A 14,195-nucleotide genomic window follows, 5' to 3' on the forward strand; every position below is an offset into this window, starting at 1 on the left:
TGGCAAACTATATAGCCCATGGGCCAAATCCAGCCCCACTGCCTGATTTTGTATGACCCATGAACTAGGAATTATTTTTTTCAGAATAACATTTGCAGTCAATCTGATGATAGGAAACACTAACTTTAAACATCACTTAAACAAAATATTATCCCCCGAAAAGGAATCTGTCTTCTCATTAGTAGACTTCTATTACAAAAACATTGTACTAAATTATTGTTAAAGTTTTAATTTCATCTATTTAAAATGTGCAGAAGTTTGTTTTCTCTTGTTATATGAGGACCTACATAATATCCACAATTTTGCCTCTTGGCCCACTGATTCGGTTTTTCTGTGTCCCTACCCAAATCTCTTCTTGAACTGTACTTCCCATAATCCCCACCTGTTGTGGAGGGACCCAGTGGGAGGTAATTGAATCATGGGGGCAGTTAGCCCCAGGATGTTCTCATGATAGTGAGTGAGTTCTCACAGATCTGATAGTTTTATAAGGGGCTTTTCCTCCTTTGCTCAGCACTTCTCCTTCCAGACGCCATGTGAAGAAGGATGTGTTTACTTCCCCTTCTGCCATGATTGTAAGTTTCCTGAGGCCTCTCCAGCTATGCTGAACTGTGAGTCAAGTAAGCCTCTTTCCTTTATAAATTACCCAGTCTCAGTTATGTCTTTAGAAGCAGTATGAGAACGGACTAACACACCCACAAATCCTAAAATATTTTCTTTTTTAAAAAATAGAGACAGAGTCTCTGTTGCCCAGGCTGGAGTGCAGTGGTGCTGATTATAGCTTACTATAACCTCCAATTCCTGGGTTCAAGGAATCCTCCCACTTCAGCCTCCCAAGTAGCTAGGACTACAGGCACAGGTTACCATATCCAGCTAATTTTCAAAAATTTTTTTGTAGAGATGGGGTCTTGCTATGTTGCCCAGGCTGCAAAATATTTTCTATGTGGCCTACTAGAGAAAAAGTTTGCTGAACTCTTCTCTAGAGGAATCTCAGTGTCACCTACTCATTTAGCCAGGGAATTTCTAAGCATAGGTAGAAACATTTTTATTCTGATAAAAAGGATCTATTTTTAATCTGTTTTCATCTTCTATAATTTTCCAGTTACTTTTTTTATAACAGCTTTGAGATATAATTCACACACCATGCAATTCATCTGTGCAGTTCATCCATTTAAAGTATACAATTTAATGGATATTAGTAAATTCAATTTTACAACCATCATTACAATTAATTTTAGAACATTTTCAGCACCCCATAAGAAATCCCTTAGTAGTCAGACCCCATGTACCCCTGGCCCCAGGCAATCACTCATCTATTTTCTGTCTATGGATTTGCCTACTCTGGACATTTCATATACATTTTCCATATCACTTTTCTGTATTTGCTTTGACTGATCTTAATTTTTATTTATGTCCTTTTAACACTTTAAAACAAGAATCAATACTGTAAGTGTGAGTCTTAGGAGTCTTTGACACCTCTAACATCCTATCTTTTCCATCATGAAATTTATCCCACAGATAGGGTCCCACTGGCTACATTTCCCTTACAGAAATGTTAAATGATTGAATATCCAAAGGCCAAGAAAGTGGTACCCAGTGCATAGGAGTCCTCAATCTCCCAGCTTGTAGCTTTTTGAGTTGCTGAGTTATGATATATCAGGAATCAGCCCAAATATCTGTCATAGCTTATAGATACTATGAATCTCTGAGATGTGAAGAAAAAGTGGTAAAAAGAGAATTGCTTGCACAAATTGCTCTTGAGAAATATGGCATAGTATTTAAATATTTCATTTTAACTAAAGTGTTCTTTCAGAAGCGAGATTTTTTTTTAAACCACGCTTGGCCTCACCAATAATTATTTGCTTTTATTATTGCTAACAGGTCCTCTGACTGGAAACTACCACTTCATCTTGATGGTTATAGTAATTAGTTATAATGACTTTTAATGAGTCCTTGAGTTCTTTCCTTACTTATTAAAAAGCCATAGCATTTAAATCACCTCATCTACTGTTCTGGTTATCTATTGCTGCATTAACAATCCACCCCAAAGCTTACTGGCTTAAAACAACAACAATCATTTTATTATCTCATGGTTTCTGTGGGTCAGGAATTCAGGAAGAGCTCCACTGAGTGGTTCTGGCTTAATGTCTTACATGCAGTGGCAGGAGATGGAAGAGCAGGCATTGGGAGAGCTTGGGATGTCAGGGCCTCTCCATGTGATCTGTTTACACGAATTAGTTTGTGCTTCCTCGCAGCATGATGGTCTCAGGGTAGTAATGCTTCTTAGATAGTGGCTCAAGGCTCTAATGCAGGGTCCAGAGAACCAGGGAGAATCTGCACCACCTTTTTTGACTGAGTCCGGAAGGTCACAGAGAATCATTTCTGCCATACCCTACTGGTCAACTAGTCACTAATGTTTGGCCCAAATTCAAAGGGAGGGCCACAAAGTTCACCTCATCATGGGGGGGAGATCAAGGAATTTGCAGGTATGTTTTAAAACTGAAACTAGCTGGGCCTGGTGGTGTGCACCTAATGTGGTCCCAGCTGCTTGGTGGGCTAAGGTGGGAGGACTGCTTGAGCCTGGAAGATGGAGGCTGCAGTGAGCGGTGATTGTACCACTGCTCTCCTGCCTGGAGATAGAGCAATACCCTGCCTTGAAAATAAATTAATTAATTTAATTAAATAATGTTTTAAAACTGCTACAAGCTGTGCAGAAACATTCTTTGGTTTACGCAATAATTACTCTGGCAAGAGACATTTCTGTCTTCCTTTTACTTCCTTGTTTTCCTTCTCTTTCTTCTTTAAATGATCCCCTTTAAGTGTTTACAAATTTAAAGATTTCAGCTCTAAATATTTTGTTTGTTTTATATATGTTCTGTATATAGACCAATTCTTGTGCCAGGCCCAAATATTTCCGGCTGCTCTGTTCTGCTCTGCCTACTTCCTGTTTGGTTGACTTTGACTTCCTGTCCTCTGTCAAAGGGCTTCATTAAAGTTATAAACTTCCATTTTGACCTAGGCACTGTGTTCTATTTCTGAATCCGCCAGTGGTCTTGAGCAACAGTACGCGTACGGTAACTGTTAAGTATAATACAGGAAGTGAAAATTAAAGTACTATGTCTTAAGATTGATAGAATTAAATGCTCAGTTTAAGGAAATACATGGTGGAGACCATTTTTCAGGAGCTCAGACCTCAGCCAGACTGAGTCTCTCTTTTAGGGATAGTTGGATCTCTCTTATTTTCGGCTGCAAATAACAGGAAACTCAACTGGTTTACATCATAATGGAATATTTATTATCTCATATAACGAGGAGTCTGAGGTAGGATGGTTCCAATTCAGCAGCTAATCATGTCACCAAAAACTCAGATTCCTTCCAATTCTTTCTACTCTAACATCTTCAGTATGGTGGCTTTATTTTTATTTTTTGAGAAAGGGTCTCACTCTGTTGCCAGGCTGCAATGCAGTGGCATAATCTTGGCTCCCTGAAACCTGCACCTCCCAGGTTCAAGCGATTCTCATGCCTCAGCCTCCCAAGTAGCTGGATTACAGGCGTGCACCACCACGCCTGGCTAATTTTTGTAGTTTTAGTAGAAACGGGGTTTGGCCATGTTGACCAGGCTGGTCTTGAACTCCTGGCCTCAAGTGATCTGCCTGCCTTGGCCTCCCAAAGTGCTGAGATTACAGGCATGAGCCACTGTGCCCAGCCCATGGTGGCTTTATTTTTAACTCATGTCTTAAAATGGCTTCTGTGGTTTACTTATCACATGCAGACACAGCAAAGTCTAGTGAATTCCTGGGTGCTCCTTTTTATGAGTAGGAAAAAAAAAACCCAAAGAACTATTTCAGTTCGTTTGAGCTGCCATAAAAGAATATTGGAGACTGAGTAATTTATAAAGAACAGAAATTCATTTTCTCACAGTTCTGGAGGGTGGGAAGTCCAAGATCAAGGTGCTGACATTTTGCAACGACCTTCTTGGTGTGTCATCACATGGCAGAAGGGTAAGAGTGCAAGAGAGCTCCCCCTTCAACCTTGAGTCCTTTTATAAGGGCCCTAATCCTATCCATGAAGGCACCACCCTTATGACTTAATCATCTCTTAAAGGCCCCACCTCTTAATATTATGACATTGGGAATTAGGCTTCCAACACATGAATGTTGAGGGACACATTCAAACCACAGCAAAAACCTATTCCAGGCTGCACACGGAATCCCAGAATTTTGGGAGGCCAAGGCAGGTGCATCACCTGAGGTCAGGAGTTTGAGACCAGCCTGGCCAACATGGTGAAACCCCATCTCTACTAAAAATACAAAAATTAGCCAGGCGTGATGGCACATGCCTATAGTCCCAGCTACTCAGGAGGCTGAGGTATTGAGAATCACTTAAACCCAGGAGGTGGAGGTTGCAGTGAGCCGAGATTGTGCCACTGCACTCCAGCCTGGACGACAGAGTGAGGCTCTGTATCAAAAAAAAAAAAAAGTAATGTGACCAAGATTGTTTCAAAAGTCTAAGGTAAAAAAAGTATTCAAAATACACCCAGTAATAGGAAAGTATATTATTTATAATATTGATGTATCACCTTTTTTTTTTTTTTTGACATGGAGTCTCGCTCTGTTGCCCAGGCTGGAGGGCAGTGGCACGATCTTGGCTCACTGCAACCTCCGCCTCCCGGGTTCAAGCAATTATCCTGCCTCAGCCTCCCAAGTAGCTAGGATTACAGGTGTGCAACACCACTCCTGGCTAATTTTTTGTATTTTTGGTAGAGACAGGGTTTTACCAGGCTGGCCAGGCTGGTCTCAAACTCCTGACCTCAAGTGATCTCCCCACCTCGGCCTCCCAAAGTGCTGGGATTACAGGCATTAGCCACCACACCCGACTTGATCTATCACTTTTAATTAAGCACTAAGTAAAAATAAAGATGTATACATTTACTATGAAAATGAAAACATTTCAGCTGGGCACGGTGGCTCCCAAAGCCTGTAATCCCAGCACTTTGGGAGGCAGGGGCGGGCGGATCACAAGGTCAGGAGATTGAGACCATCCTGGCCAACACGGTGAAACCTTGTCTCTATTAAAAATACAGAAAAAAAATTAGCTGGGCATGGTGGCGCGTGCCTGTAATCCCAGCTACTTGGGAGGCTGAGGCAGGAGAATCACTTGAACCAGGGAGTCAGAGGTTGCAGCGAGCCGAGATCACGACACAGCACTCCAGCCTGGCGACAGAGTGAGATTTTGTCTTAAAAAAAGAAAGAAAGAAAATGAAAACATTTCATCTGGAATATCCAAAATTAGGTTTAATATATTTTAAATCTCATTAGACTTTTTGATAGATTGCTGTAAATATTATGTGAAAGTTATGCTTGTCTTCAATTTCAGTGGTGTTAGATATCTAAATACAAGCCTGGCTATTTTTGTTTTTTTTTTTTTTTTTGAGACAGAGTCTTGCTCTGTCACCAGGCTGGAGTGCAGTGGCACGATCTTGGCTCACTGCAAGCTCTGCCTCCCAGATCCACGCCATTCTCCTGCCTCAGCCTCCCAAGTAGCTGGGACTACAGGCGCCCGCCACCACACCTGGCTAACATTTTGTATTTTTAGTAGAGACAGGGTTTCACCTTGTTAGCCAGGATGGTCTCAATCTCCTGACCTCGTGATCCACCCGCCTTGGCCTCCCACAGTGCTGGGATTACAGGCGTGAGCCACCACGCCCAGCCCAAGCCTGGTTTTTTTATGCGATAACTTAGAAAGCCCAACCTCCTGCTCACAATTTCCTACTTTTCCAATTTTTCAACTCCCTGGTTATATAAAATCTGTTCTTTAAGCTGATTAGGACCTACAAGGCTTGGAACCATTCCCAGTTTCCTAGGATATCTATTCTCTAGACAATTTCCTTCCTTATAGTGCTCAGTATAAAATCCAGGTCGGGCCCGATGGCTCACGCCTATAATCTCAGCACGGTGGGAGGCCAAGGCAGGAGGACTGCTTGAACCCAGGAGTTTGAGACCAGCCTGGGCAACATAGGGAGACCCCATCTCTACAAAAATAATTTTAAAATTAGCCAGGTGTGGTGGCTTGTCCCTGTAATCCCAGCTACTCATGACGCTGAAGCAGGAGAATCACTTGAGCCCAGGAATTTGAAGCTACAGTGAGCCGTGACTGTGCCACTGCAGGGTGACAGCTGGTCTCTAAAAGAAAAAAAAAAAAATCTATGGCAAATGTAATATAATGTCAGGTGAAAAAAAAAATCCAGGCTACCAAAGTTTATGTATAAATGATACATAGTGATATAAAATATATAAAAGTTACATGAGGATATACTCCAAATCACTACTCTTGGTTATTTTTTGCATAGGGGTTGGTCATTTTACTTGACTTTCATTTTCTCTGCCTTAATTTTTTTACCATGATCAAGTAATAGCAGAAGAAATAAACCAAAGCCTGCATATGAAAAAGCTCTAGAAGACAACACATACACACATACTCACACATGCACGTAGGTGATGTCTGTATTAGTGAGGCAGAATTATAAGTGAGTTTTCTTCTTTTCTCCAATCTTTATTTAATTTTGTTTATTTGTTTTGTTTTATAGAGACAGGGTCTCACCATGTTGCCCAGGCTGGTCTTGAACTCCTAGCCTCAACTGATCCTGCCACCATGGTCTCCCAAACTGCTGGGATTACAGGTGTGAGCCACCATGCCCAGCCTTTCTTTAATGTTTTATATGTGTCTTTTTTTAGGTTGTAATTTAAAAATAAACATATTTTAGCAAAAAATTAAAGACTTTGAATGTTATTAAAGAATTTAGGTCCGGGAGTAGTGGTTCACGCCTATAATCCCAGCACTTTGGCAGGCTGAGGTGGGAGGGCTGCTTGAGCCCAGGAGTTTGAGACCAGCTCTGGGCAACAATAGTGAGATTCCATCTCAATCTAAAAATAAATAAGTAAAATATACATATGAACTTAGTAACTGGTTGGCCCAGCTTGCTTGCTTTCATGACAGTAATCCATGATTTTGATACCCGTCTTAATATAATCACTATCATACCTCTCTGCAGGCATAGTTATCACTTTGGGTAGGAGTTGAGCCTTGTGCCTCTTTTTGTTTTTCTTGATGGTATCTAACGCCCAGTGGTGATACATTGTCACTCATATCAATACTGGTGTGATTCAATGTGTAATAATTTATATTTTATTCGACATTTAATGAGCATCTACAATGCTAAAGGCACTGTACTAGCCACTCTAGGGAATAAAAGATGAACAAGACACAGTCAATGCCTTTAATTAAAGAAGTAAATGCACTGATTTTTACTTTTCCTACACAGGTATTGAATTGAGAATTTTGGGGAAAAGAACATGAAGAGTCTTAAAAGATATGGAACCTGTGAACGCTAAACCTTCATATATTTGCATTTTTATTAGTAAGATTATGGCTGCCAGTTATATTGTTTTATATCTTAGGTCATATTTTGAAATGTGATGTGACATAGTGAAAAAGAAACAAAGAGTCTGGAGGTCTGGTTTCAAGTTTCAACTCAGCAATTAACTACCTAATGAACACGGGCAAGGTACTTAAACTTCCTGTGCCTCATTTTCCTCATGTGTAAAACGAGGGAGATGAACTAAATGATCTACAGGGTTCCTTCCAACCTTAAAATTGAACTAACTCTCTCCTGTTGAGACATAAAAGAGGCACCATATGACTTGAAGGTGATGATGACTTCATTACTTGTTCTGAAAAATGTTAATTCTAAATTGGAACAAGTAATCACTGGATCTCATGGTTGTGACACATCAGACATTACTACAGTTAGAGAAACCCAAGTTAGCACACTGTGTCATACTTCTAGGCAGTGCTATATACGCAAAACTAGCATACCACAGTATAGGGCCTACACAATATAAACAAAAAGATTAAAAAGAGATTTTTTTTTTTTTTGAGATGTAGTCTTGCTTTGTCGCCCAGGCTGGAGTGCGGTGGCACGAGATCGGCTCACTGCAACCTCTACCTCCCAGCTTCAAGCGATTCTCCTGCCTCAGCCTCCTGAGTAGCTGGGATTACAGGCGTGCACCACCATGCCCAGCTAATTTTTTGTATTTTTAGTAGAGATGGGTTTTCACCATGATGGCCAAGCTGGTTTCAAACTCCTGACCTCAAGTGATATGCCCGCCTCGGCCTCCCAAAGTGCTAGGATTACAGGCGTGAGCCACTGCGCCCTGCCGATTTTTTTTTTTTTTTTTAAATAGAGACAGGGTCTCGCTATGTTGCCCAGGCTGGTTTTGAAATCCTGGGCTCAAGCAATCCTCCTGCCTCAGCCTCCCAAAATGTTGAGATTACAGGTGTGAGCCGCTGTGCCCAGCCAAGAAAATTTTTAACAATGGATATTTTACGAATGCTTTTTGGAGTTTTTATGTACTAAGATTTCATTTCTCTGGGTGTTCATTAATCTTATGTTTCAGTTCCTTAAATGAAAATAGGTGAGTGGGGCAGGTTTCCTCAGAGGTATAGTTTTTACTTTAGGGACTATCCCTTTCTCCTAAAGTGTGCTTTAAAGACGGCAGCACATGAACTTGTCTTAGATAGGAGGGACAGCAGGCAAAAGTGATGACAGGATCTGGGTCTGCTGCCACACACCAAACTATTTATGAATTTTTTTTAAGAGACAGGGTCTTGCTCTGTCACCCAGACTGGAGTGCAGTGGTGTGTTCATAGCTCACTGCAGCCTCAAACTCCTGGGTTCAAGTGATCCTCCCACCTCAGTCTCTCAAGTAGCTAATATTACAGGTGCATGCCCCCAAACCTGGCTAATTTTTTTTTGTTTTTTTTTGTACAGATGGGGGTCTCACTATGCTGCCCAGGTTGGTCTCCAACTCCTGGTCTCCAAAGTGCTGGAATTACATGGGTGAGCCACCACACCTGGCTCTCATTCTTTATGGGTTTTTTGTTTTTTTTTTTTTTGCCCTTAAGTTTTGTTTTTTACAACCTTATAAATCACATAATTGAGTTTCAGAGATCTCAAACAATACTAATGCAGTAAGTAAACAGGAGAGCAGGAGTGGGGTTTGGCCAACAGTACTGGTAAAATTCACTCATAGTGGTTGAACCCAGCTGTTGCAGCTATTTGTCCTTAATAGGAAGGACACCTCCTCACTACAGAGAGTTGGGCAGTGATTTGCAGTATGCTAACTGGGACTAGGGCATACTCTCGATAAGGTTTAATTTTTTGTAAGAGAACCATGTGGCTTAAATTGATGTAAAGCATCTACATAAACTACATAACGGAAGACAGGTAACTCAGATAATGGGGGTATCAAAGACGAAATTTGGCCATTTATCTAGAATTATCTGAGGGAGAACCCCAATGAATCCAACAGATACAATCACTCTGGTTATTAGAGTAGTGTAAGAATCACAGTCATACGTGCTGACTTATTCAGAGGGCAAAGTACCAGTGTCTGCAACTTATTTTGAAATACATTTTTAAAAACCAGATAGATGAATGGATAGACAGAGGGATGGAAAAATAAACAGACAGGTGATAAGGCAAGTGCAGCAAAATGTTAATGGTGGAATCTAGTTAGTGGGTATACATATGTTCCCGGAAAAAAAATCTTTCAGTTTGGCTGTATATTTGAATTTTTTTTTTTTTTTTTTTTGAGACGGGTCTTTCTCTGTTGCCCAGGCTGGAATGCAGTGCCAGGATCATGGCTCACTATAGCCTTGACCTTCTGGGCTTAGCTGGAACCACAGGTATGTGTCACCACACCTGGCTAATTAAAAAAAAAAAAATCTTTTGTAGAGATGGTGTCTCATTTTGTTGTCCAGGCTGGTCTTGAACTCCTGGATCAAGCGATCCTCCCACCTTGGCATCCCAAAGTGCTAGGATTACAGGCATGAGCCACCATGCCTGGCCCCAAACATTTTTATGATAAAACAGGAAAAAAACCTGCCAACATTTCTGAGGGCTTTCCCTGTGTCAGGCACTTTGTATTAGTGATCTCAATTAGCCCTCACAAGAAGCCTGTGAGGTAGGTACCATATTACTACCCCTATTTTACAGATAAGCAAACAGGCACAGAGAGGCTAAGGGACTTGCCCAGAGTCTCACAGCTAACAATCTAGGACAAGCTAAGATTCAAATCCAGGCCTGTGTGTTTGCAAAGCCAGGGCCTTTAGCTGTGAAACACAGAGAATTCCGCAGATGTTTTTCAGAGCCTCCATTAAATATTACTGAGTATTATAAAACTTCTAGAACATAGGAAAATATTTTCATAACCTCAGTCCAAGAAGAGTTCTCTAACATTCACAAAAAACACTATCAAAGAAAATAAATCAGACTTAATTAACACTAAGTTAAAAAGCTTCACTAAGATAATGAAAAGGCAAGCCACAGACTAGGAGAGGATACTTGCAATGCATATATTTTATAACAATTCTGTGGCATCCATAGAGGTGCTCTGCTCAGATCTCCATTCTAGAGAGGATCTGCCTCAGCTTTCAAGCCAAAGCCACATATTTCCTTGGAGCCACCTACCCAATTATTAAGTACAGAGGTAGTATAAGGGCTAACTATCTCTGTGCACAGTGTTTGTGTTAGAGCTCCCCATTGGATTTACTGAGACTTCCTCAAAGATGCACTCCCATCTCATTTTCTTTCTACCAAATTTACCTTCCTTCCCCCTTTCTTTTCACCAGTGTCAGACCTGCATCTTAAGATTTTCCCTGCCTATAACTTTTTTCTTTCCCCTTTATCTTTCATAGATGTTACCCCCAATAAATCTCTTGCACTGTTAATTTCATATTGGTACTTGCTTCCCAAAGGACCCAACTGGTATACTCATATCCAGAATACATAAAGAATGTCTACAAATCAATAAGAAAAAGATAGATAATCCAATTTTTTTTTTTTTTTGAGATGTTTTCTCGCTCTGTCCCCCGGCTGGAGTGTAGTGGTGTGATCTTGGCTCACTGCAATCTCTGCCTCCCAGGTTCAAGCGATTCTCCTGCCTCAGCCTTCTGAGCAGCTGGGATTACATGTGCGTGCCATCATGCCCAGCTAATTTTTGTATTTTTAGTAGAGACGGGGTTTCACCATGTTGGTCAGACTGGTCTCGAACTACTGACCTCGTGATCTGCCCACCTCGCCCTCCCAAAGTGCTGGGATTACAAGCGTGAGCCACCGCGTCTGGCCCCATTTTCTTTTCTAATGTGCAAAAGACTCAAACAGGTACTCTGCAAAGGAGGAGAGCCAAATGACTAGTACATTTGTAAAAAGGTGTTCAGTATCTTGGCCAGGCACAGTGGCTCACGCCTGTAATCCCAGCACTTTGTTAGGCAGAGCGGGGTGGATCACGAGGTCAGGAGTTGGAGACCAGCCTAGCCAATATGGTGAAACTCCGTCTCTTCTAAAAAAAAAAAAAAAATACAACCGGGCGCAGTGGCTCACGCCTGTAAGCCCAGCACTTTGGGAGGCCAAGGCAGGCGGATCACCTGAGGTCGGGAGTTTGAGACTAGTCTGACCAACACGGAGAAACCCCGTCTCTATTAACAATACAAAAATAAAATAAAATAAGACAAAACAAAAATACACAAATTAGCCGTGCACAGTGGGCTTGCCTGTAGTCCTAGTTACTTGGGAGGCTGAGGCAGAAGAATCGCTTGAACCTGAGAGGTGAAGGTTCCAGTGAGCCGAGATTGCGCCACTGTACTCCAGCCTGGGCGATAAAGCAAGACTCCGTCTCAAAAAAAAAAAAAAAAGAAAGAAAGGAAAGGAGTTCAGCATCTCTAGTTATCAGGGAAATGTATATAAAAACCACAAGAAGGTACTGCTACACCTCCATCAGACTGGCTAAAATTAAAAGGACAATACCAAGTGTTGGTGAAACAAATGGAATTATCTTAAGTTTTGTTGTTGTTGTTGTTGTTGTTTTTTAGAAGGAGTTTCACTCTTGTTGCCCAGGCTGGAGTGGAGTGCAGTGGTGCAATCTCAGCTCACTGGAACCTCCGCCTCCCGGGTTCAAGCGATTCTCCTGCCTCACCCTCCCAAGTAGCTGGGATTACAGGCATGCGCCACCATGCCGGGCTAATTTTGTATCTTTAGTAGAGACAGGATTTCTCCATGTTGGTCAGGCTGGTCTCGAACTCCCGACCTCCGGTGATCCACCTGCCTCGGCCTCCCAAAGTGCTGGGATTACAGGCGTGAGCCACCGTGTCCGTCCGGCCTCTTAAGTTTTTTTGTGGGAGTATAATTTGGTACAACAACCCTGGAAAACTGGCAGTGTCTACTAAAACTAACATGTATTTACCATATGATCCAGCAGTACTACTCTTGGGTGTATATCAACAGAAATAAGTGCTTATAACCACCAAAAGATGGACAACTATGTGGACACAACTCAAATATTTATCAACAGTAGACTGGATAAATAAAATGTGCTATATTCATACAATGGATTTCTCCCCAATAATGAAAAAGAATGTACTACTGTCACACAGTACGGACATGACACATACAATTGTTAAGTGAGAAAGTCATACTTAAAAGAGTATACACTGTATGAATCCATTCATATCAAGTTCAAAAACAGATACAACTAATTATTGTCAAGGAGGTCAGAATATCGGGTGCCTTTTGGGGGTGGATATTGACTAGAAGCAGCTCCGAGGCAGCCTTCTGAGTGGCTGGCTAGAAGCGTTCTGTATCTTAATCCGGGTAGTGGGTTACAAAGACTCTCCTTGATGACACTCTGAAGAGGCTTCTCTGAGCCCTGTTCTCCACTAGGCTTCAGCCTTGGCCTGTAACTACTGCAGATACTGAGCACACATTATTTTATCCATGCCCCACACTAACAGACCTAAACAAATACTAGCATGCCCCTAGGATGATGACTTCGGTCACCTTTAGTTACTGCCTGGGAAAGCTCAAGAATGCCAAAATAATATATGTTTGTTCCAGTTCTATGAACCTATGGTGACCACAACGTTTGATTTTATTCTGAAACTGTTGTTAACTGTATCCATTCAATTTAATGATGGGTGTCTTGTTCTTTCAACAACAAAAAAATATCTTATGGAGCAATTTCACTTTTGACCCCTCACTCTTACTTTTTCATATTCTGCGATCACAGACTCAGAACACATCCATTTGCTAATCAGATTTGTTTCTTTCCTGGAGGATTGTGACTTTTTAACTGCTGCATCATTAAAAAATTTTTTTTCATATGTTTAAGGTAAGTTCTTTAGCATCAACAGTTCTAAAGGTTCTAAAGGTTCTCTGCCCTTTCAGATCAGTGCCCACTGTTTTATAACATATATTTGTAACATCCCCTTTAGTAGGTTGAAGTGAAATTCATAATCTACCTTACATGAATATTTTCAAATAAATAAAAATTATGTTCTAACAGCAATATCAAGAATTAAAAAGAAAGCAATTTCTAGGAAAATAATATCGACTACAGTATGTAAATGCTTGGGCATAACTACATCAAAAGACATAATGGGGCCAGATGCAGTGGCTCATGCCTATAATCCCGGCACTTTGGGAGGCTGAGGCGGGAAGATCATTTGAGCCCAGGAGTTCGAGACCAGCCTGGGCAACATAGCAAGACCCCGTCTCTTAAAAAAAAAAGACATAATGGGTTGGGTGTGGTAGCACGGGCATGTAGTCCCAGCTGTTTGGGAGGATGAGGTAGGAGGATAGCTTGAGCCCAGGAGGTGGAGGCTGCAGTGAGCTGTGTTCATGCCAGTGCATTCCAGCCTTGGTGACAGAGCAAGACCCTGTCTCCAAAAAAAAAAAAAAGACATAATGAAGTTGCCAGATGTTTGTACTTGTACCTAGAATCAGTGTGAATGCAAGTGCTGCAAATGCAGCCTGATACTACTGTGGTTTTTTGTTTGTTTGTTTTCTGAGACACAGTCTTGCTCTGTCATCCAGGCTAGAATGCAATGGTGTGATCTCGGCTCACTGCAACCTCCACCTCCCCAGTTCTAGCGATTCTCGTGCCTCAGCCTCTCAAGTAGCTGGGATTACAGGAGCACACCACTACGCCCAGCTAATTTTTGTATTTTTAGTAGCGACAGGGTTTCACCATGTTGCCCAGGCTGGTGTTGAACTCCTGACCTCAGGTAATCCACCCGCCTCGGCCTCCCAAAGTTCTGGGATTACAGGTGTGAGCCACCACAGCTGGCATACTGTGTTGTAT

General features: G+C 41.6%; 1 long non-coding RNA gene across 1 annotated transcript in view, besides 2 other annotated features; it reads right to left on the bottom strand.

Annotated features, from left to right (window-relative positions):
* REL-DT (REL divergent transcript) overlaps positions 1 to 14,195 on the bottom strand; it is a 33,555-nt gene that overhangs the window by 17,284 nt on the left and 2,076 nt on the right. The gene's annotated exons all lie outside the window — the stretch shown is intronic.
* Positions 8,560 to 8,659: an enhancer, noted in NCBI's record as "active region_15824". NCBI's record gives its function as "activates an Ori minimal core promoter by ATAC-STARR-seq in GM12878 lymphoblastoid cells {active_cell/tissue: GM12878}" and the evidence as "EXISTENCE:reporter gene assay evidence [ECO:0000049][PMID:35858748]".
* Positions 8,690 to 8,739: an enhancer, noted in NCBI's record as "active region_15825". NCBI's record gives its function as "activates an Ori minimal core promoter by ATAC-STARR-seq in GM12878 lymphoblastoid cells {active_cell/tissue: GM12878}" and the evidence as "EXISTENCE:reporter gene assay evidence [ECO:0000049][PMID:35858748]".

This window comes from Homo sapiens, chromosome 2 (genome assembly GCF_000001405.40).
Source record: "Homo sapiens chromosome 2, GRCh38.p14 Primary Assembly".
NCBI lineage: Eukaryota > Metazoa > Chordata > Mammalia > Primates > Hominidae > Homo > Homo sapiens.